Source organism: Homo sapiens, chromosome 5 (genome assembly GCF_000001405.40).
Source record: "Homo sapiens chromosome 5, GRCh38.p14 Primary Assembly".
In the NCBI taxonomy this organism is placed as follows: domain Eukaryota; kingdom Metazoa; phylum Chordata; class Mammalia; order Primates; family Hominidae; genus Homo; species Homo sapiens.
The window spans coordinates 9,942,019-9,965,592 of NC_000005.10; the positions used below are offsets into that span (position 1 = coordinate 9,942,019).

Genomic DNA, 23,574 nt, shown 5'->3' on the forward strand with positions numbered 1-23,574 from the left:
GGGCTCCATTAATAATGATGGGTGAGGTGGGGAAACTGGAGTGCATGATGATAAATTAATTAATAGGTACAATGTACATTATTTGGGTGATGGATACCCTAAAAGCCCTGACTTCACCACTGTGCAATCTATGCATGTAGCAAAATTGTACTTGTATCCCATATGTACCCCATACCCATTTTTTAAATAAATCAATTTTAAAAATAAAAATGTATTTTAAAATAATGATGATGAAGCCAGTGAGGAGTGCAGTGGCGGTTCAGAGGGGCCTTATTTTGATCAATACTTGAGAATTAAGATCTGCTCCCTCACGCTCAGCCCCTCAACGCTGTTCTCAGTGACTTGTGTTAAACCTTATTGCCAGAGAATAAATGAACCACAACCAAACCCGGAGTAGACCCAGCTGTTCCAGTAATTTTATGCCAGCACCAGAACCACAAAGCTAAGAGGAAGAGAAAAGGCTTCTTGCTTTCCTGTGACATTTTATTTTTTATTATCATTTATTATTATTATTATTGAGATGGAGTCTCATTCTGTCACCCAGGCTGAAGTGCAGTGGCACAATCTCGTCTCACTGCAACCTCTGCCTCCCGGGTTTAAGCGATTCTCCTGCCTCAGCCTCCCGAGTAGCTGGGATTACAGGCACCTGCCACCACACCCAGCTAATATCTTTATTAGAGATGGGGTTTCACCATGTTGGCCAGGCTGGTCTTGAACTTCTGACCTCAAGTGATCCACCTGCCTCAGCCTCCCCAAGTGCTGAGATTACAGGCGTGAGCCACTGCACCCAGCTCCTGTGACATTTGAACTGTCAGTGAGAAGGACCTCTGCTCTGCTGTGAAAGGTTCAACTATTTTAAAGCTACATGTCATTTTTTATTTTTTATTCATACATAATCAACATTCATGTTTTCAGGTATGTGTGATCATTTAATATATTCAAGTAATTTTTAAAGATCAAATCAGTGTCATTGGTATATCCATCACCTCAAATATTTGCCTTTTCCTTATGCTAGAAACATTCCAATTATTCTCTGCTTGTTATTTTGAAATGTACAATAAATAAAGAAACTTGTCTATGTTGATATCTACTCCCAATCTGGGGACAGACATGCTCAGGGTATATTTTCTTTCACTAATAAAAGGTGGATTAATTTTTCTGTGAAAATTCTTCTTTAAAGTTTACTGCTTCTAAAAGCATGGAATTTTATTTCTCTGGTGATCAGTGATGTTGAGCTTTTTTTTGTATGTTTGTTGGCCGCATGTGTGCCTTCTTTTGAGAAGTGTCTCACGCCAGTCAGAATGGTGATTATTATAAAGTTAAAAAGAAACAGATGCTGGCAAGGTTGCAGAGAAATAGGAACACTTTTACACTGTTGGTGGGAATATAAATTAGTTCAACCATTGTGGAAGACAGTGTGGCAATTCCTCAAAGATTTAGAACTGGAAATACCATTTGACCCAGCAATCCCATTACTGGGTATATACCCAGAGAAATATAAATCATTCTATTATAAAGATACATGCACATGTATGTTTGTTGCAGTACTATTCACAATAGCAAAGACATGGAATCAGCCCAAATGCCCATCAACAAGAGATTGGATAAAGAAAATGTGGTACATATACACCATGGAATACTACATAGCCATAAAAAGGAGTGAGATCATGTCCTTCGCAGGGACATGGATGAAGCTGGAAGTCATTATCCTCAGCAAACTAATGCAGGAACAGAAAACCAAACATTGCATGTTCTCACTTATAAGTGGGAGCTGAACAATGAGAACACATGGACACAGGGAGGGGAACAACACACATTGGGGCCTGTCAGGGGAGTGTGGTGTGAGAGGCGAGGGCATCAGGAAAAATAGCTAATGTATGCCAGGCTTAATATCTAGGTGATGGGTTGACAGGTGCAGCAATCCACCATGCCACATGTATAGCTATGTAACAAACCTGCACATCCGGTACATGTACCCTAGAACTTAAAACTTAATTTAGTTTAAAAGCATGGAAGTACAGTCGGCCACCACCACCCACCCAGCCAATTTTCAATCAGATTCATCTCCAAACCACCTGGGGTCTGTTGCTGGAATGTGGGGTGCATTATACCAGAGAGCAGAGCCACAGACAGCACTGGCTCCCCTAGTCAGCCCTCAAAGCCATTGTCTTAAAGTCTAATTGGAATTGTTTTTAGAAAAGAGAATTTTGCAATTAAAAAAAAGTCATGAATACAGGTCCAGCAGTCATGACTAAAACATCAAAACAGTCATGTAGAAAACACAGAAAAGAGCGTCTTGTTAGGTCTCCTGAATAGTGACTGAGGAGAGCCTGAGTGAAGGAACCTGAGAGGGGAGAGAGGCCCACGGGATCCTGCAGGTGATGTCTGGCTCTCCCGAGAGCCCACGGTGGACGGTGCTAGCTCACTTTGTCACATTTTTCACTCCGGGAAAGGGGTGGCAAGCAGGACCCGTTGTCACCCGGTGTCTTGTCCTTGTTTGTTTTGTGGTTTGGGTTTTGGTTCACCAAGAGAATTATGAAAGGGAGAGACAGGAAAATATCCTTGATGTGCCTGAGCAAAATTATAGAAACAAGAGCAGGGGAGGGTGAGGGAGTTCAGTAGAGCTGAAAGAGGTTGCAGCAGCTGGAAATCCCCGGGCTGCAGGGTAGAAGGAGGTGGGAGGGAGACGCTGCAGAATACCAGGCCCCTCACTGGCCCTGCAGGTCCCCTCGCTCCAGCCTCCCAACCCTGCAACCTGGGATGAGTGTCCACATCTGACAGCCACTGAGAAGGCGGGCCTGGCAAGGTGGCCCTTGTATGTATTAATACATGGAGTGGGCACCTCTAGAAGTGGCTGTGATATGTGGGAAGGGTCACGTGGCAGAGATGAAGGTGTACTGAAAGACAGCACGGGAGGCTGGCTCTGCACATTCCTACCCGAGGATGAATGCAAGGGATCTGCCTTCCCCAGAGCCAGCACCCTCCGTGCTCCACCTTCTGCTTGGGGGAAGGGGTGCCTGTAACATCCTGGACCATTGAAAAGGGAAGCTAAGCACACATAACAACTCAGATGGGAAAAAGCAAATCACAGGGCTTAGATGGACCTCATCCTACAGTACAATTAAATGACATCCAAGGATGAGCAGAAGGACAAGACACAGCCCTTGGCACTGCCTTCATGTGGGGCCCACTCCAATGCTGACAGTCTGCAAGGGCTCTCCAGTGAGCACTTTGCTCCCAGAGCTCTGGGCAGAGCTCACTGGACTGGACTGATTCCTGTCCTTGCCACCCACAGCTCCTCCCAACCCAGTCCTCTGCTCCTTGGACCACTGAGCCCCCTGTCTGTTCCCATTCCCTCCAATCCCCCTACCCTGCACCTTCTACTGAAATCACTGAATCTTTATCCAGTGGGATGACAAGGCATCTGGCTCTATTTTCCTCCAAATCCAATCTTCATAGCGTAAATGTTATGAACACAGGAACTTCTTTAGCTTTTGATAGTCAAAGACAAGTTATTGAATCTCAAGCACCATTTTTGCTTTCAAAAAGCCCAATTCTTGCAAGTCAATAGTTTGGATCTCAAGACTATGGTCACTTCATAAACTCCAAAAACTATCCAAGAAACTCATGATGAGACATGACTTCATTATCTGTGCTGTTCACTGTTCATGGCTATTATGGGGGAAGGAGGTGGCCATTACCACCTTCATGGAGACCTAAGATCAAGGAAACGCGGGTGTGAGAAGCATCAAAGTGTTTGTGTTTGCAGGTGTATTACCCTGGCTAATAAATCTAAATGTTTTCCCAATAAAGCAGTTGGGTAACAACTACAAAATATTTTATATGCTTACAGAATGTCCAAGATGTGTGTAGGTGTGAATGTGCGCATTTGCCTATAACACAGAGGTATCACCTTAGACTAGTAGATGACTGGGCCACAGGGTTCTGACAAACTTATGGGTTTTTTAATTATCCAAGTGTTCTTCCCTGACCATGTGTTGCAATAATTGTTAGAAATATATAATAAATATACATTTTAAAAGAGTAAACAACAGAAATAAAATAAAATCATTAGGTGTTTTTGAATCGCATTTTTGTGGCAGCCCAGGAAGCTGACGCTAACTGACTGGCCAGCAGATGTCCAGGGTGAAAGACAAGCTGGGCCATTGGCCCTCTGTCCTGTGTCATTTCCAAGGCTCAGGCCATGGCCTCACACAGAGAGCTCCCAGCACTCCCGCATCTTTCTGGCTCTCTCTAAAGAGCTGATTCCTCTGAAAATTCCCCTTCCCAGGGCTTTTGTGCCCTCCCTTCTCCAAGTTCCAGTTCTAGAAGATAAGAGGTTTCCAGAATCCAGACACTTTGAGAATCCTGCAGTGCTGTCAGAGGCCCAAAATGTCATCCTCTATCCAGCTGTGAACAGAAGATTCTCGAACACCTACTCGCCTTGCCCACTCTCCCAGAGGAGATGACGCCCCTTCCAGACTCAGTTGAGTCTGGAGCCTGGATTCACTCTGCACTCCACCCAGTCTAAGAATCTCCTAGTAAGGTAGGCTGGACAGTGGCCCCTCATAAGGTCCATGTCCTAGTCCGCTAGCCCTGTGAATACATTCTGCCAATAGGACACTGCGGATGCAACTCAGCATCTTGAGATGGGGAGAGGATCCTGGATTCTCCAGGTGGGTTCAACTTCATAGCACAGGTGTCCTTGTAAGAGAGGGCTGAGGAAGAAACGGTATCACAGAAGAGGAAAAGGTGAGGTGACCTTGAAAGTGATGGAAATGATGCACCCAGCAGCCTTAAAAGTGGGAAAGATGAGGAACAGATCCTCGCTGAAGCCTCCACAAGGAGCCGGCCCCGTCGGCACCTTGATTTTAGGTTAGCGAGACGCTGCTCAGAGTTCTTTAAACTACTATGTTTGTGGCAATTTGTTACAGCAGCCAGAGAGCAACCCCTCCCTCCCATCCACCCCTACCCTGTTCTAATTGGATGATAGCTGGAGTCTTTCAGGAGCCCTTGTGTTTTATAACCCAGTGGCCACAGTGACCCTAGGCGAGGCCCTGGTCCTTCAGGCTGCATGGTCAGTATATGTGCTGCAGGCCCGGGGTCCACAGAGGGCACTAAGTAGGGAGCAAGACATTGTTTGTTTTTTATTTCACTTGCTTCCCAAGCAGGAATTTCAATGCTGAAATCCTATCATCACTATAGAGAAGCTGAGTGTAAGTTCTGTTGGCAGCAAAAATTAGCAATCAGTGGCTACTCCCTACTCAGAGGGAGCAGACAAGTTCAAAGTCAGCTGTGCAGAAAGAAGTCACGGATGGCTAGGGATGCTGGGCTTAGATGTGGCTGGCTCCAGTTCTGGTCGTGGCTGTCCTCGTGACCCATCCAGTATCATGCAAGGTAACCTTTAAATAGTTTGCATTTCCAGCTTTTCAACTGTGTGATCAGAATCAGTTATGCCTTCTCTCCAGAGGTGCTGCAAAACCAGTTACGTTAAGTCTGTGCTAATTTTCACACTGTTTGTAACTAGCCAGTGACTCAAGTACAGCCTGATAAGTGGGGGTTGCAAACACCCTGGAGCGAGGTGAGTGAGCAGGACCATTGTTGCGTATTTCCTGAAACATGCATATTTGACATGTAGCTTGGCAATGCAGCCAAAGACAGGAAAGCAAGACTGCTGGCTCATATCATACTGCCCAGCACACTCTGCTTCAGTGTCTTCAAAATGTTTAGCTAAAAGAAAATTTCTTCAAGGTGAAGCATAGATAGAAGCCCAACATGAAAAACTGGTAAATGTGGCGTCATTCACATCGACATGAGGAGCAGATCTTGAGGGCGGCCCAGGGCCCCTGCAAGCCGCCCCAAGCAACTTCGTGAAAAACCTAGAAGCTCCCAGGGGAGCTCAGCTTGGCAACCACTGTTCCAATCCATCCTCATGGCTGTTACAGTCAGTTGGTCCCATGGACTACAGAGTGTTTTAATGAAAACTGGACCTTTCACATGAAAAAAACAGAGGCCCAGAATTATCGTCTCACTGGGCAAATGTCAGACTAGTACCAGAGCATGAATTGTGGAGCAGACGGGAATGACGAAGGTCCTATAAATTGGGCCCCTTTTTGACATCACTGCATCACCTGACCTCAGCCCTGTGCTATTTATATCAAACCACATGGCCTCTTCCAGCTTCCCGCACAATTTCTTGCTTTCCTCCCGCATTCCAGATTTGCCCCTTTGGAGTTAACCCCTTCAGGCCTCTCCTTGCTGCTTCTTTCATAACCAGCTTCATACAGTCATTTGCCTAAAAAATCTGTTACTGCTAAAGTTACCTCCCTGTCAACGTTCCATAATTACAGGGCAATAGAAAATAAACACTACTATATCCCAAAGGCAACCTCATTCAATGACCAAGAAAAGGCCAGAGAATTAAAGAAAAAAATCTAGAAAACAACACAATTTATAAAATGCCTGGGTTGTACCCATGAAGAGCTTTTAATATATGCAGATTCAACAGTGGGGCTTGAATCATTTCTGAGGTGCATTCTGACACCTGGCCACAGGTCCTGTTGCTGTCCATACCCTGCTGGTCAGAACCACCGAGCCCTCTGCTCGTTACATCCCCTTGCCTCCCCTCCGCTGCCACCCAGTTCTAGCTGCATGGATAGTTTGAATTTGGCTCCTGTGTGGCAGCAGAGGGACACTGCAGGTGTGGAAAAGAGATATTCAAGGAGAACTCCAGCTGAGGATGTTGGCTGGATGCAGCCAGAAGATAGCAAAGGCTGAAATAAACAAAGACCAGCAACAGAGAGCAGGCACAGGCTGTTTACTCATTACTTATAGCATGGGAGGCAGTAGCAGTCAGTGGTGTTTGGCAGAGACTGAAGGGAGGCAGAGGATCAGGGAAGCTTCACAGTGGCAAAGTGGGAGGCTGCAGGTGTGCCCTGAGTGGAGGCTGCTGGCTGGGGGAAGCTGCAGGTGGGGTTCACTAGAAGCCAGGAATCCCATGTGATTGGTTAGGGGAGCGAACGTGGCTTTCTCTGGCAGGTCCTGAGTCGGAAGTAGGGGAAAAAATTAGAGTTGTCAGTGATGAATCAAGTCCTGGCCACTTGGGGCTGGTTGCTACAGGTGCTATTGTTTGGCTCATTTGGTGGCTAGAGGCAGCAATCTGACTTCATGGGCTGGCTGCTGTAGATCAGTGGTCCCCAACCTTTCTGGCACCAGGGATCAGTTTTGTGAAAGACAATTTTTCCACAAGACCTGGGCAAGAGTGGGGGGATGGGGTGGGAGGGGATGGTTTCAGGATGAAACTGTTTCACTTCAGATAATCAGGCATCAGATTCTCGTAAGGAGAGTACAACCTAAATCCGTTGCATGTGCAGTTCACAATAGGGTTCATGCTCCTGTGAGAATCTAATACCACCGCTGATCTGACAGGAGGCGGAGCCCAGGCAGTAATGCTCACTCACCCACCACTCACCTCCTGCTGTACAGCCCAGGTCCTAACAGGCCACAGGCTGCTGTGGGTCTGCGGCCCAGGGGTTGGGGATCCCTGCTGTAGATAATGAGTTGGTTTCCTGGGCAGGTGATATGGTTTGGCTGTGTCCCCACCCAAATTTCATTTTGAATTCCCACGTGTTGTGTTGTGGGAGGGACCCATTGGGAGGTAATTGAATCATGGGGGCAGGTCTTTCCCATCCTGTTCTCGTGATAGTAAGTCTCACAAGATCTGATGTTTTTCAAAAGAAGAGTTTCCCTTCACAAGTTCTCTTTGCCTGCCACCATCCACTTAAGACGTGACTTGATTCTCCTTGCCTTCCACCGTGATTGTGAGGCCTCCTCAGCCATGTGGAATTGTAAGTCCAATTAAACCTCTTTCTTTTGTAAATTGCCCAGTCTCAGGTATGTTGTTATCAGCAGTATGAATACAGACTAATACAGCAGGTCTTTACAGATTGCGGGCTAGAGTTCTGTTTTCACATCTGGTGTGGCCTTATCCATTCATATATTCTGTCTCTCCAGCAGTAAACCAAGCAGTTTCAGCCTGTTCCAGCCACATCAGCCTGCAGTGGAGCAGTGATGGCAGGTGGGGGTTGGGGGGAGGGTAGTGAATTGAATGGTAGTCCCCCAAAAAGATACATTCATGTCCTAATCCTCAGAACCAGTGAATGTGATCTTATTTGGAAGAAGGGTCATTATGATGTAATTAAGTTAAGGATCTCCGGATGCAGTTATCCTGATTCATCTGGATGGGCCCTTAATCCAACAACAGTGTCCTTAAAGGAGACAGAAGAGGAGACCAAGAGAGGAGGAGAAGGCTACATGAAGACGAAGGCAGAGATTGGAATAAGGCAGCTATGAGCCAAGGAACACCTGGAGCCACCAGAAGCTGGAGGAGGCAAGGAAGGATTCTTCCTAGACCCTTCAGCAGGCCTGGCCCTGCTGATGCCTTGATTTTTGACTTCCAGGCTCCAGAACTGTGAGGGCAACAAACGTCTGCTATGATCTACCAAGTGTGTGCTATTTGTTATGCAGCCCTAGGAGGCTAATACAGCAGCTCCTCCACACATGCACATTATAGCTTTGTTCCTCCAGTCTTGCCCTGCCTAAGGGGGAAGACTGCGGAAAGAGGATATTTCCTAGACTTGGTTCAAATAACCAAGATATTCAGAAGAAAATTGAAAAATTCAAACACTCAGATATTTTAGAGTGACTTTATGTTTTATACCATGAAAACAGACATCCAGATTTATTTTTATTTTCTCCTAGATATTTGCCCTTTTGGAGATCTAGACTTCCTTTGGTATGTGGTCAACAGTCCCTTGAAGGTGTATCTGTGGCTATTTACCTAAATACACACATCAGATAGTGTCATTCATATGTTGGTAATTAATAATAAATATAGTAGAACTTGTTTATAGAACCAGGGTAATAGGCATGATGGGCAATACATATTACCTGAGGAACTGTAACCTATTTAGCATACTTAGGATTTGTCCAGTTATCCGCTTAATACACTCCCCCACACTCTGGAGTTTCTCTTTCCCCTCTTATCTCCTGCCCTCTTTTATGCCTACATTCTGGTCACTTCTGAATTAACCATAATATTTTAGAAGCAAAAAAACGTGTCTATAGCCAAATAAGTACTGCATTGCTTTCCAAATTGAAACCCCAAATTGTTAAAACTCTGGACTTATTACCACTTTTCCCCATGCAATATCCATGTCATATTAATTGTTTAGACCCTGATTGACTCTAATAGACTCAAAGAATAATAATAATTTATTATTTGAAAATAAATTTCAAATAATAGAGTGTGGACATGTAATTAATATGCACAACAAATGCTCTTGGAAATTCACGCAGAATATTCCCAACTGCAGTACCAGCTATCATTGCAGCGTGCCCACAGAGGGTCAGCAGCATCCCAAAACACATGCCCAGTCACAAATGGGCAAAATCACATCCACATGTGTAAACACATTGGAGAATAAGTTGGTATATTCAAGTGCAACTGATGCATGGGTTCAACTTCTTTGACCCCAGCTTTGTTTCAAGATGTCAGTTTCTGCCGCTCAGCAGGAATTCCCCAGAAAAGAACCTGCCGATTGGCATCTACAAAGCAGGCCCCCTCTCTGCACTATTTTAGATCTTTCTTTTCTCATCTTTGCAGATAGAGAACAGCAGGAAGAATAAATGATTGGATTCAAATATGAAGGAATGTTCTCTTTTAGCAGACCTAATTTCATTATGTTTCACAGAGATGGACTGATGAAGTCAACACATTTACACCGAAAATCTCTACGTCTCAAATGCAAATGTCAACGTATGTCACAAACCTTTATAATTTGCATTCCTTAGAACTACACTTCTAGAAATCAATCCTAGGGAAATACCAGAAAAGTGCAAAAAGACATATATCAAGGGTATTAATCACAGTAGTGTTTATACAGCAGGAAGAAAAAAAAATCTGGAAGCATTCTAAAGTGAGGCAGGATAGGTCATCAAGGAAGGTTCTTGGATGCAGCAACCATGGTGACCCAAGAGTCAACACAATCACATTGTAATTGAGCTCGATCAGGCAAAGCTATCTTCAGTACAGACTTTCTCCTCTAGAGAGCATGTGCGCTTTGATTTTACCTGTCCTCAAATTGACCTTTCGCTCATTATAATAGTAAATTATAAATCTCCCTGGGTGGAGATTTAAGGTGCTAATGAGACATGCGATGTATGAACAAGAATTGCAGCTACTGAGCATGTGCACCCACAGGACCACCCAGAACATGTTTATAGCAACACCTCTTCCCACCTACTTATGAATAATTGTGTAAGACTCCCCTAAAGGGAGTCTCCCTAGAGCAAGTCTTTGCTGTCTCGTCCTTATGAGCAGCCTGCCCTGATTCTCTTACGGTGTACTGTCTATTCTGCACCTAACTTTCAAAATACTCTTTTTCTTTTGCAATAAATTACTGTATGCTACATCTCCTTTGCTGTGCATCTCTTAAATTCTTTTAAACTAAGAAGACAAGAACCAAGGTATCACAACAGTGCTCAACCAAGGAAATCAGTAGATAAATTATGGGATAGCTCCATAGTGGAAAACGATTAGAGTCATTAACATGAGGCTAAAAGAATGTATTTATGGGCCTGGAAAATGTTTATTACTTATTTTAAGTAGGAATTTGTTTCAGTTTCCTATGGCTGCTATAATAAATTACCACAAATTTAGTGGATTTTAAAAACCCACAAATGTATTATTTTGCAGTTCTGGAGGTCAAAATTTAAACGAGTCTCTCTCGGCTAAAATCAAGATGTCAGCAGGATGGTATTCCTTCTGGAGGCTCTCAGGGATAATACTTTCTCCTTGCCTTCTCAGCTTCTGGAGGCTGCCTGCAGGCCTTGACCCATGGTTGCTTTCTCCGTCTTCAAAGCCAGGAGAGCAGCATCTTCCACTCTGTCTCTGACTCTGCCCTCTGCTTCCACTGGCACATCTGCTTCTTGACTCTGACCTTTCTGTCTACCGCTTATAAGGACCCTGTGATTACACGGGGGCCACATAGATAATCTAGGCTACCCTCCCCATCTCAAGCCCCTTAATCACATCTGCAAAGTTGCTTTAGTCATTTAAGGTAACATAGTCACAAATTCCAGGGATTAACATATGGACATCTTTGGAGGTCTATGATCCTGAGTGCCACAAAAGTTCAAATTGCAGAATAATATACCTAGGTATGGTTCTATTTTTCTATGTTTTGACAAAAATTATATAAATATTGGCCAACAGACACTCCTATCACTCAGGACATGCCAAGGTTTTGAAGACCTGTGCCAGGAAGTGAGGACGAAGACTGGATATATTCCTTGTTCTACTACATTCAGCTTTTAAAATTCGCAAACCAGGAGGAGACCTGCCCTGCTTTTCTCAGCTCTTTGCTCTTAGCAGCCCTTTCCTTCAGTAATGATTGCAAAATGCACAGATGTACCAAAAGGGAGGAGGGGATAATGGAGGAGGAGAGACATATTTGGCTAATATTTACTCACATTATCTTCCACTCATGCGTGCATGCATATATATATATATGCCATAAACCTTGAAGCTCATATGAGACCTCTCCCTGGCACAGTGACTCCATGCTCATATTTTCACTTATTTTTCTATTCAACAAATAAGTAGTGAGTCCCTACAATATAGTGAACTCCAGGAAAAGCTCTGGAATACAGAAGGCACAGGGCTTGCCCCACTGGGAGCTTACAATTTAGCAGGTGAGAGGGACACCAAACAGCTAGGGAAACAGATAATTACTTTATCACAATGGTGCTGTGAGGGAAAAGTACTGGGTGGTGTGAGCACATGCTGGGAGAGTAACACTTGACAACAGGATCAGAAAAGGCAGTCCCAGGCAGCTCCAGTCACTGTTGAGGACTGAAGCAAGCGTAGGTGTCAGCAAGATAAAGCTGGGAAGGTAGAGTGGAAAGAAGAGGGTCCCAGCATTAGAAACATGCATGCGAGCTCTGGATTGGGAAGCCTTTCTTCAAGGAACCAAATAAGGCATAGCATGGAGCACAGAGGATGAGAGAGAAGGAGGATGCAGCTGCAGGGGTAACCTGGGGCCAGGAATCGGGGTCCAGTGGGTGAAAGTAAAGGTATTGGGCTTATGTAAAAAGCAATGGTGAGCCACTGAGGGGTTTAAGCAGAGGGTCAACATGATGAAATGTATGTTTTAAAAACCTGACTGCACTGCAGTGTCAACAATAAACAGGAGGGAGCTAAGGAAATTTGGGGAGGAAACATCGATTGCTATTTCCACGATATGATTCTGGATCTGACCCAGATGATGGTATGGGGGCGGAGAGAAGTGGACAGGTATTTACGAAGATGAACTCTGCCTCAGGGACGATGCCCAAGTGTCCAGCTTGAGCAACCTGATGTTGCTTTGAACCAATAAGGAGTGGTGAAGGATCTAATTAGAGGACAAGGGAAGGGAAGTATGAGGGTACGGCATGAGTTTAGTTTCACTTATGTAGTCCCAATTTTGTCTCCTGTCTTTATAAACTCTCAACATCTCTCAGAAAATCTGCTATTTTGGTACCAAACCACATTTCCAGGCTTCTTTCAGTATAAAAGTATTCCCAAGGTTCTTTTTTCTTTTTTAATCAGACCAAGAGCCTTTGGGTACAAAAATACAGCCATAAAATCTGTGAGATATCCCCTTAGGCTTAAGAAGTGACGTTAATTAACCAAGCTTCTACAGCTTATATCTATTGTAAATTTTAGCACAATGATTATAATAAACACAAGTAAGCTTGTTTTCTTTTAGGCAAAAAAACATTTGGAAACCTCAACCTGGAAACGTAATTCTATTCTGGCAAAGACCAGATCCCTCTGAAATGATTACTACCATTACTACCCGACTCTCTTTTCTGTACTCAACCTTGATTAAATAATGGGAAACACATGGATAAAATGAGTCCCCTGCAAATGTCAGGACAAAAGAACTTTTACCCCTAGGTTCCTCCAGCAATATGGCAGGTTTCCCTACTACACAGTGATTAATTCAGAGATATGGAGTTAATCTACAACAAAGTTCCAACAGACACATTTTAATATTGTTTATTGTAACCAGAAATGGATGGCACATACTGCAACGGTTACTAACCAATTTTCATAATCAAAAAGAATTATGCTATATTGGCCAAAATATTAGTCATGGGATTAGAACCCATCCTCCCTTGAATAGCCTAATCCTCTTTAAAATAGCTCAGAGTAATCAGGTTAGCTTCACAGTAAATTTTAGTAAACCCATCACTTTTATGAAATAATTTCAGAAAAGGAAAGATCAAAGTTTTTTAAATCCTTGATGCTGATGAAACACTGGGCAAAATAAATGTCTTACAAAGCACTTATATAATTGATTTAAGCTAACTATCCTAATAGAGATACATTTGCCATTACAAATGGATTTGTATTATAAAGTGGAAACTAGCACTAGCACTGTGGAAACAAGTTCTCAGTGCTGGTTTTCTGAAAAATGGGACAGTAACAAGAAAAGGCATAGGGAAATGTCTCACCAAGCACCCTGCCTTCCAGCCATTTTTAAATGAAAGCCCTTTCTGGCAATGCTATTTTGTGTAAATGATGACCAGATAGGGTGGCTGATTGCTTTGTGACCTCTGTTTAACACAGCACCCTCTCCTAGTCAACACTATGTTGGCACGCAAAAACAGCCCGAGCTTTTCAAAGCATCCAGTTTGCTCTGGGGGAGCAGTCACCTTAAGACTTCTAAGAATTTTATGCATGCGATATTACTTGGCCACAACCCTATCTTCCTAGACTGCAAAAGTGCTTGAGAAAACAAGAATGGGATCACAAGTGTGCTCCTGTAAGTTTCCACAGAGATTCAGTTCCTAATTGGATCTTTTCATGTCATCTTGGATTCTTATTTTATTCTAATTTATCCACTGTCAATCCAGACCTATCAAAAAAATCACAATGATCACATCTATATATCTTTATTCAAGTTACTGATAAAAACATTAAAGGTTACAGACCCTAGAACAATGACCTTTGACCTATTCCAAGTCAGCATAGAATGGCCTCATCACCCAACTTGTTGTTCTTCCCAATAAGTGTCCTTGCATCCAACCCTAAGTTTTCTAAAGGCTTATCCGAAACTGAATATACACAAAATCAACAATGTGGGTCTCATGAATGCATGCCCTCAAACAGGTTCTGAGATTCAAAACCTTCCATTGACTAATGAAGAAAATTTCCCCTGGTTCCACCCCACCTAAACATGGGTTCCCATTACTGTCTCTTCTTTGCCATCTGCCCACAAGTCAGCCACCCTGTTGAAAGTGAAAAAGCTACTGCCAACATAATTTCAATCAAAATGCTTTTATACTTTTGGAGAGTATTAGTGTGATGGTTAATTTTATGTGGAAACTTGACTGGGCCATGGTGACTACATATTGTTCAAACGTTATTCTGGATATTTCTGGGAACATGGTTTTTCAATGAGATTTACACTTAAATTGAGACTTTGAGTAAAACAGAATGTTCTCCATAGTGTGGCTGTCTTATCCACATTATGGATGAGATTAGATGACATTGTGCCTCATCCAATCATTTGAAGGTCTGAACAGAACGAAAGACTGACTTCCCCCAAGCAAGAGTTGTACATGCATATCCTATGGGCTCTGTTCATCTGGACAAGCCTCACTAATACAAAAATATATAATACTTTTTATTACAAAAAGTGCAAGAATTTCCTAATACATTGCACAAAAACAATCTTGTACCCATATTTCTTCAATTAGTCATTTTATCATAATAGCCTCTTTATTCTCTTTAAGTGGTTCACACCCAGAGTTCTTTAGAACTCTTTCAGGATGCTTCCACCTTCTTGTTTGTCTTTGAAGTCTTAAGTAAAGGAAATATAAATATTTCACCACTGCAATTCCTGTTTTCTACTCTTCAGAAGATCTCCCCTGAATCATGGGTCAAAATACAGCCACTCTTTGGTATAGAAGTCATAAGAATATTAATAACTCATAGTGGACTTATCAGTCATGCTTATTAATAAAAACATTACATTCAGGACACAAGAGCCCCTTTGAGGCAAATGAGAAAGGGAAGCCTAGCTGAGACTGACAGGAACTGGAGTGGCTAAGGGAAAGAGGACCCTGTGCACAAACACTTCTATGGAACATGAAGAAAGGCCTCATCGGTTCTAGGCACTGCCAGAGACATCCACTTTTTTGTGGCTATAATAATGATATTTTCAATGACAAATGATTTCTCAGGAGAGGTCTTGGTCTAATGAGATGCTACCATAAAGTAATAAAACCACAAAAGACTGTAAAAAAACAGAATGATAGATAAGCTATGGAACACTGCCAAGTTGTCTTTGCATTTCAATTACTTGTGGCAATAAGAGACAGACATAATATGGGTAATAAAAAGCCAACCATAATCCAAAAACTTAATTTTAGCAAATGGTTCAAAGTCTTCCCACAAGATCCTTTACTAAAGCAATTGACAAATGTTGCATTTGCAGGAGAGAGCTACAGAAGCCTGCCTGAGAAGACCACTTAAAAGCCAGAGTCTCCCAGAGGAGCAGTGCTGGGTGAAGTATCCAGAGGTCTCAAAGAGACTGGCTCCATCCGTCCTCAACAGACAGATGTATAAATAAGAATGCTGGTTCTAAATCTCAACAAAAGAATTCTTGACTCAGCAGGACACTTACTTCTTCTGATCAGCACATTCTCTCCCTTTTGAAAACTCCAACATTGACAATTATAAACAAAAGGTTGTTTGATGAGCATGAAGTGAGGACAAGGGAAGCTTGTAGAATAATTTGAAGGATAGTGATACCAACTCTTGGGGAAACAAACCTTTCAGAGAGACCAAAACCTGTGCCTACTGCTAGACATCCTCTCCATGAGCAGTGAAGTTCCTACACCAGAAATATTCTGCTCGCAAAAGTCTTGATCTCTGAGCCCCTTGTTTATAATCTGATCTCTTAACAACAAGGTCTTTTCTCAGATGAGGTGGTTTAGAATAGACTAAGTACAACTTTAGACATGCTAATACACCATAATTTCCTGAAAGCCACTGACTCTCCTTCCTAATCACTGACAACATGACTATACTCTAAAACTCCCCTAATACCCATTTATAGATCAATGCATAGGGTGAGTGTTCTGGGCTGAATTGTGTCTCCCAAAATGCATATGTTGAAGTCCTCTCCCCTCAGTTCCTCAGTGTACGACTGTATTTGAAGACAGGGTCTTTAACGAGGTGATTAAGTTAAAATGAGATCATTTTAAGTGAGGTCCTCATCCATTACAAATGGTGGCCTTATAAAAGGGAAATTCAGACACAGAGACAGGTACAAATAGAAGGAAGACCATGAGAAAGCACGGGGAGGAGATGGCCATGGACAAGCCACGGACAGAGGCCTAGAACAGAGTCTTCCTTCACAGCCTCAGAAGGAACCAACCCTGCTGACACCTCTGTTACTGGTGGAAGAGATCTGAGTTACCCTGAGTTACTGGTAGTGAATCTATAAGGATCCACAGCAACTTCAGTCCTTGCCTCCTCAGAAGAAAGAATTCATCTGAGGGGCATAAAGCAGAAAAAGAGACCGAGGCAAGTTTCAGAGCAGGAGTGCTAGTTTATTTAAAAGGCTTTAAAACAGGAAAGAAAGGAAAATTCATTTGAAAGAGACCCAAGCGGGCACCTGAAGATCCAAGAGAGAAAAGAGAGCAAAAGAAGACTGCAAAAAGAGAGCCTTTCACCTTGATCCCAGGACTTTTTGGGCTCACCTCTTCCCATGATTCTTCCCTTTAGGGTGGGCTTTCCACATGCCCAGTGCTTGCACCCTTTGGCATTGAGCACAGCGCAGTGTGTTTAAGGAGTTATATGCATGCCCACGTGAGCCTTTCTTCCCTTTTCTGGTGGAGTTGCCCCCAGAAGATCATACTTCACCACTTTTGTCTCTTGACACGTATGTCCAGGAAGTTGCTTCTCCCTGGGGTTTGCATTCAATTGACATTTTGATGTTAATGGGTGTGGACCATTAGTAAGTGGCCTCTCCCTCGTGCTGCCAAACTGTCATTTTTAGAAAGGCAATGCAATAACCACCGAACCATCACCAGACATTCTAGTGGGTGGAGGAAGAGCCCTCTCCTGCCCTGCTCATGCCTAACTACCTGTAACTCCTCCATATCAGACTTCCAGCCTCCAGAACTGAGAGACAATGCATTTCTGTTGGTTAACTCACCCAATCTGTGTTACTTCGTTAGGACAACCCTAGAAAGCTAATACAGTGGGTGGCTTCAGAACTTATGTGTGGATTTTTTCCTCTCAGAGTTTTTCATAATTTTAAGAGGTTTGCATTAGTTTGTTTGTCCCTACCTACCACCACCACCAAACAATAAAAGTTACTACCCACAGCATAGCTAACGAGCAGGGAGCTCCCTATTGCCAAAGATGGAGGGAGGGAAGCTCTCTCTGTTAAAGGAGGGAGCAGGGATGCTTGTAGACCCCAAATTACATAATTAGCTCAGAGTAACTGGTAAAACATAGGTTGATAAAGAATCATGCGTATATATTCATTCACACTATTGAATATCCATGAAACCATTGTCTTCACTTGGACCCTCAATATTCACCTACCCCTTTATTCCCAATCCCCTGCAATCTCTTCTTTTTCTCTTTTTTTAGTGATAAATGCTACATATTTATGGGAGAAGGCTAGAGTATTGTGGTGGTGATGGGTGATAACACTTTTTTTCATTATTATACTTTAAGTTCTGGGATACATGTGCACAACATGCAGCTTTGTTACATAGGTATACACGTGCCCTGGTGGTTTGCTGCACCCATCAACCCATCATCTACATTAGGTATTTCTCCTAATGCTATCCCTCCCCTAGTCCCACACCCCCTGACAGGCCCCGATGTGTGATGTCCCCCTCCCTGTGTTCATGTGTTCTCATTGTTCAGCTCCCACTTATGAGTGAGAACATGCAGTGTTTGATTTTCTGTTCTTGTGTTAGTTTGCTGAGAACGATGGTTTCCAACTTCATCCATGTCCCTGCAAAGGACATGAACTCATCCTTTTTTATGGCTGCATAGTATTCCATGCTATATATGTGCCACATTTTCTTAATCCAGTCTATTGTTGGTGGGCATTTGGGTTGGTTGCTATTGTGAACAGTGCAGCAATAAACATACGTGAGCATGTATCTTTATAGTAGAATGATTTATAATCCTTTGGGTGTATACCCAGTAATGGGATTGCTGGGAAAAATGGTATTTCTAGTTCTAGATCCTTGAGAAATTGCCACACTGTCTTCCACAATGGTTGAACTAATTTACACTCCCACCAACAGTGTAAAAGTGTTCCTATTTCTCTGCATCCTCTCCAGCATCTGTTGTTTCCTGACTTTTTAATGATCGCCATTCTAACTGGTGTGAGATGGTATCTCATTACGGTTTTGATTTGCCTTTCTCTAATGACCAGTGATGATGAGCTTTTTTTCATATGTTTGTTGGCTGCATAAATGTCTTCTTTTGAGAAGTGTCTATTCATATTCTTTGCCACTTTTTGATAGGGTTTTTTTTTTCTTGTAAATTTGTTTGAGTTCATTGTAGATTCTGGATATTAGCCCTTTGTCAGATGAGTAGATTGCAAAAATTTTATCCCACTATGTAGGCTGCCTGTTCACTCTTGTGATAGTTTCTTTTGCTGTGCAGAAGCTCTTTAGTTTAATTAGATCCCATCTGTCAATTTTGGCTTTTGTTGCCATTGCTTTTGGTGTTTTAGTCATGAAGTATTTGCCCATGCCTATGTCCTGAATGGTATTGCCTAGGTTTTCTTCTAAGGTTTTTATGGTTTTAGGTCTTATGTTTAAGTCTTTAATCCATCTTGAGTTAATTTTTGTACAAGGTGTAAGGGAAAGATCCAGTTTCAGCTTTCTGCATATGGCTAGCCAGTTTTCCCAACACCATTTATTAAATACGGAATCCTTTCCCCATTGCTTGTTTTTGTCAGGTTTGTCAAAGTTCAAGGGATGCTTTTTATGGCTCTTTAACTGCCAAATCCAGTGGATGATTTTTTGCTATCTTTCTGGACCTCTTCTACATGGGATCCCTTCCTCCCTGTTGAAATGCGCCATCTTTATTCATTCACATCACAATGAATCAAGTCTCTTCCATGATCTCTGCCAATGATATTATTCCTCCAGGTGCCCTGGTAAATATCACTGTCTCTTGAATTTGTGCTAGCCCACTTCTATCAATACATAAATGTATTTGCCACTTACACACTGATGGCCCTCATACCAACATCAAGAACCTGAAACCGACTTTGCAAAAATTATAACCATGAGAAAAATTATGGCAGTGGGGGAGATCTGATCTAGCTAACCCTCATCTTGCCTTTAGCCTTCAAGATGCCCTTAATAATTCCAAGGCTTAAACCAAACTAACCTGGGGGGACTTTTAGTTTATAGTTTAAATGATAATAGCCCTTCCCCAAAACTTAACCACCTGTGTAAAGTTAATGAGAGACCACTGGGCTAGGAGGATACAGGGGCCTGAATTCTGCCAAGGCATAGATATAAATGATTGCTAGCCATTATTCCAGAGGTCACAAGATAGGCAACTTCCCCAATTACTCTTGCATATAACGTCACTATTGTAGAACTTAAGGTTGGCCTTTTGAGATATCTTTTCAGGTTTTTTGCATGTCTGATGACCAATGGCTCCACCTAGACATGCCAATTGCTCCTTTGGCCCCACCCAGAAGCAACTCAGGGCACAGGAGGACCATTGGCCACACCCCTATGATTGTACCCCAACCAATCAGTAGCAAGCACCCATCATGTAGGCACTCCAACCCCTTCCTCAAAGGGGACCTTTTTAAAACCCTAGTCCACAAATTCTCAATGAGATTAAGTAACAACTCTGTCTCCCATTTGGCATGGTTGGCCTCGCATCAATGAAACTCTTTCTTTACCACAATGTCATGGTCTCATGTGTTATTAGTCCATTTTCACACCACTGTAAAGAACTGCCTGAGACTGGGTCATTTATAAAGGAAAGAGGTTTAATTGACTCACAGTTGTGCATGGCTGTGGAGACCTCACAAAACTTACAATTATGGTGGAAGGCACAGGGGAAGTAGGCACCTTCTTTATAAGGTGTCAGGAGAGAGAAGAGAGTGAGCAAGAGCAGGGAAAACTGGCTTATAAAATCATCAGCTTTCATGAGAACTCACTCACTATCACAAGAACAGCATGAGGGACGATGCCCCCATAATCCAATTACCTCCTTTCCTCCCTCAACACATGGGGATTACAATTCGAGATGAGATTTGGGTGGAGGCAGAGAACTAAATCATATCACTGTGAATTGATCTTGTTTGTGCAGTAGGCAGGAAGAACACAATGGGTGGTTACAAACCCAGCCATTTCCCATTGCACCCAGCCTAGTACAGCTTGTCCAGCTTTCTAATAAGGAAACTCGATGCCAATTCCACTCATATTTCTTTAGAACCATGTCCACGGCTCTTCCTGGAACCCCTCCTCAGTGGCATCCTCATGCTCTGGAAGAGGACACACATATTTTATTGGCCCTCTCTGCTTTCCCTGCTTATAAGTATCTGAGGATTTGCCCTGCCTGTAGAATAGGTGGAAAACATTTTAACATGCCATGCCAGACCCTCCACAAATTGGTTCAGTTTATCTTTCAGCCTCCACTCCATTCTCTCTCCAATCTTCCAAGCTATTCACAGCAGACAACTTGTTTCTTCTCAGACATTTCCAGGCCTTTGTTCATATTCTTCATGTCTGGAGAATCTTTCTCTCCTAATCTGACCTAAAAAGAGCTACTTGTCTTCCTAAGATTGAAAAAGCACTCCTTCTCTTTAGCTTTCAATGAATCATACTCAGGCAGAATTCTACCATATTCCATGTTCCCTCTGTATGTTACAAACGCCACTATTGCAGTGTTTATATACTGTGTCATGGTCATTTGCTTATGAATCTGCCTTCTCCATCACTGCATGAGCCACTGCAGGAAGTGGCCACTGCTCTCTCAACTCCAAAGTCTCTTAAGCCCCCTACCATCATCAACATGGTGACTCAGTGCTCCTGAAGGGAATTCAGCTCTTCAGAGGAGGGAGTATGCACGGCCCACATAAGACTAAGAGAAAGAAATGGCTTTGCAAAGAAATAAAAAATGATATTCACCAGAGAATCAGCACACCACTTACCCTTTTCAGGATTTATGACTTTCTGAATATAAAAACGTCTAGGATATATCATGGAGAATGGCACCATCCAAGGCTGGGACCTGGTCTCTGAAATTCCTGACAGGCAGTTCTGCTAACTACAACTTCAAATGACCCCTTCTTCAATTTAGCTATGTGGAAGTAAAAACTGACCTTTCATCTGCCTGACAAGGTTGATGTCAAGATCAACACACCTTGTGAAATTTAGCTCTTGATATTAGTGTGAGAAGTCGCCCTAAGACTTCTGGAGCAGCAGAATGGTCTCAAAAAGGGGAGTCTTGGGGATGGCTCATTTGTTTGAGGGAGTCTCTGAACACATCCTTTTGGTTCCTATGATGTAAACTAATGCCTGCCCATTGTTCTAGCGGAAAACTATGAGACTCCCTGATGCAAATTCAGGTTATATGATTAGTCTGAACTGTGTCTTTGTCGACTCTTTATAGGAGGGTGTGGAAGAGGAGGAGCAGAAATAAATGACTCCTGATTTAGTGCAATTTTAGAAAGAACTATTGCCTATTGAAGATAAATGTCAGTGTTTCACAGTAACTCACTAGATCCCCCAACTTGAGACCTGGAATATCAAGAAAGATGCCAAGACATGGATCACCCTCTAACGCTGGAGTTTGGGCTACAGAAGGAAATAAGCTTGGCCTGGGAAAACAAAAACTGCACTGGGTGGTTCACATGTGCGCTGGTGTGATGGGTGTGGACTAGTCCTGGCCCTTAGAGCACATCCTGATGTTGAACTAGCCTCTTCTGATGTGGTCACCCTGAGAGCCCCTGGGGTGAGAGGTGAGCACTTTCCCCTGAAATGAGTGTGTCTTTATGAAATCCATACCCCTGGGAAGAGGGAGATAGGGGAACATGGAATGCAGACTCCAGAGGTAAACCCTGAAATTGGACAGTGGGGAGCCACTGTCTTCTCTCTGATCTTGTAAGCGGTTGGATTTCAAATGGTGAGGGATTACTGCCAGATCTCATAACTGACCTCACAACAGTTGAAAACTATTCTCGGAATTGTACTTCCCTTTTGTCATCCATAGACCTTTGGTAGAAATTTTACCAATGCTGAGCCTGACTTTAGTCATGCAATGCGCTCTCAGTGGAAAGCCCTGTGTGATTTCGGGGATAGAGCGGCAAAGGGGGTCAGTAATGTTCCTCCCACGTGGCCCAAGTAGTGGCCCTTCAGCCTTCCCCAAAAGAGAGAGACTGGATCCACCATAGACGATGCCACATGAGGGAAGCAGGGAATGTGGGGGGTGCCAGGAGGATGATGCTGGATCCAAAGATGTGAGGGAGTGAAGCACACAGAGCTCAAATCCCCAGAAATCCCTCAAATACCCAAGGATCCACTGGAGGGGAACAGGCACCTGCAGGGGGACATTTGAAGTCATGTCACTTTGCAAATTCAAGAAAATATAATTTCTATTTGTACCTGCAAGCTGATGAGGGCTGGACACCCCAGTTACCATTTCAAACCACTTATTTTCCATGCAGATGCTTGGTTGCACTTTTCCACTCACCTAAGGTGCACTCCAGCAACCAGGACGTAGAGGAACATACTCATCCCGTCTGAGCCCCACATCTCCTGGCTGTGAAATCCATGGCTTCTTCTCAGGAGGAGAATCTGGGGAGCATAGCACATTGCAAACAAGTGCCCATTGTAGGAACAGTAACTTTTCTGTCGGCTCTCCCTCACCTTGCCCATTTATGAATCTGAAGTAAGAAACGTGTGGGGGTGTGTGTGTTTACAGTTTATATTGGAAGGTATTGTAGGATAAAATGTTCGGTTGGAGAGCTATAACCTTTTTCGGCAGTTTCATATAACCAATGAAAAGTTACTCATGTAACATTTTAAAGCTTTCAATTTAATTGACAAAAATTAATGAACAAGTAGAAGAGCAGCATAAACACTTGGAATTATTAGCGAGAACATACCATGCCTATGAATTTGTGCAGGAAGACCAGCTCCCATGGGATAACTCCTTAAAGTTGAAGACTGGAATTTTAGCCCAGAATTACTTCTGGAAGGCCAATCCCAAAAGTCACTGACTAATTGGGCTAACTGGAAAAGAAAAATTGCACAAAATGTCCCTTCAATATATACATTAATTTGCTTTTATTTTATTTTCAACTAAGGCTTTTGTATCTAATTGTATTGATTTGTACTTCCAACAAATGAAAAATCCTGACGGAGAAAACATTTATAGAGGGCAATTCTAAATGAAAATAGAGATAAAGAAGAAGGAAAAGAAGGTCACATGTGCTATAAAATCTAAAA

General features: G+C 42.9%; 1 long non-coding RNA gene across 1 annotated transcript in view, besides 5 other annotated features; it reads right to left on the minus strand.

The window, feature by feature from the left end:
• The window catches only part of LOC107986405 (uncharacterized), a 34,244-nt gene extending 11,330 nt beyond the window's left edge, over positions 1 to 22,914 (minus strand). The window contains exon 1 of the long non-coding RNA XR_001742600.2: positions 22,817 to 22,914. This is a non-coding gene — a long non-coding RNA (uncharacterized LOC107986405). The remainder of the gene's footprint in view (positions 1 to 22,816) is intronic.
• Positions 2,261 to 2,762: an enhancer, noted in NCBI's record as "H3K4me1 hESC enhancer chr5:9944391-9944892 (GRCh37/hg19 assembly coordinates)". NCBI's record gives its function as "activates a minimal SCP1, AML or CMV promoter by ChIP-STARR-seq in naive H9 embryonic stem cells {active_cell/tissue: H9 hESC(naive)}" and the evidence as "EXISTENCE:reporter gene assay evidence [ECO:0000049][PMID:30033119]".
• Positions 2,763 to 3,262: an enhancer, noted in NCBI's record as "H3K4me1 hESC enhancer chr5:9944893-9945392 (GRCh37/hg19 assembly coordinates)". NCBI's record gives its function as "activates a minimal SCP1, AML or CMV promoter by ChIP-STARR-seq in naive and primed H9 embryonic stem cells {active_cell/tissue: H9 hESC(naive and primed)}" and the evidence as "EXISTENCE:reporter gene assay evidence [ECO:0000049][PMID:30033119]".
• Positions 5,374 to 5,503: an enhancer, noted in NCBI's record as "active region_22350". NCBI's record gives its function as "activates an Ori minimal core promoter by ATAC-STARR-seq in GM12878 lymphoblastoid cells {active_cell/tissue: GM12878}" and the evidence as "EXISTENCE:reporter gene assay evidence [ECO:0000049][PMID:35858748]".
• Positions 6,968 to 7,047: an enhancer, noted in NCBI's record as "active region_22351". NCBI's record gives its function as "activates an Ori minimal core promoter by ATAC-STARR-seq in GM12878 lymphoblastoid cells {active_cell/tissue: GM12878}" and the evidence as "EXISTENCE:reporter gene assay evidence [ECO:0000049][PMID:35858748]".
• Positions 7,387 to 7,446: a silencer, noted in NCBI's record as "silent region_15911". NCBI's record gives its function as "represses an Ori minimal core promoter by ATAC-STARR-seq in GM12878 lymphoblastoid cells {active_cell/tissue: GM12878}" and the evidence as "EXISTENCE:reporter gene assay evidence [ECO:0000049][PMID:35858748]".
• Positions 22,915 to 23,574: the final 660 nt, after the last annotated feature.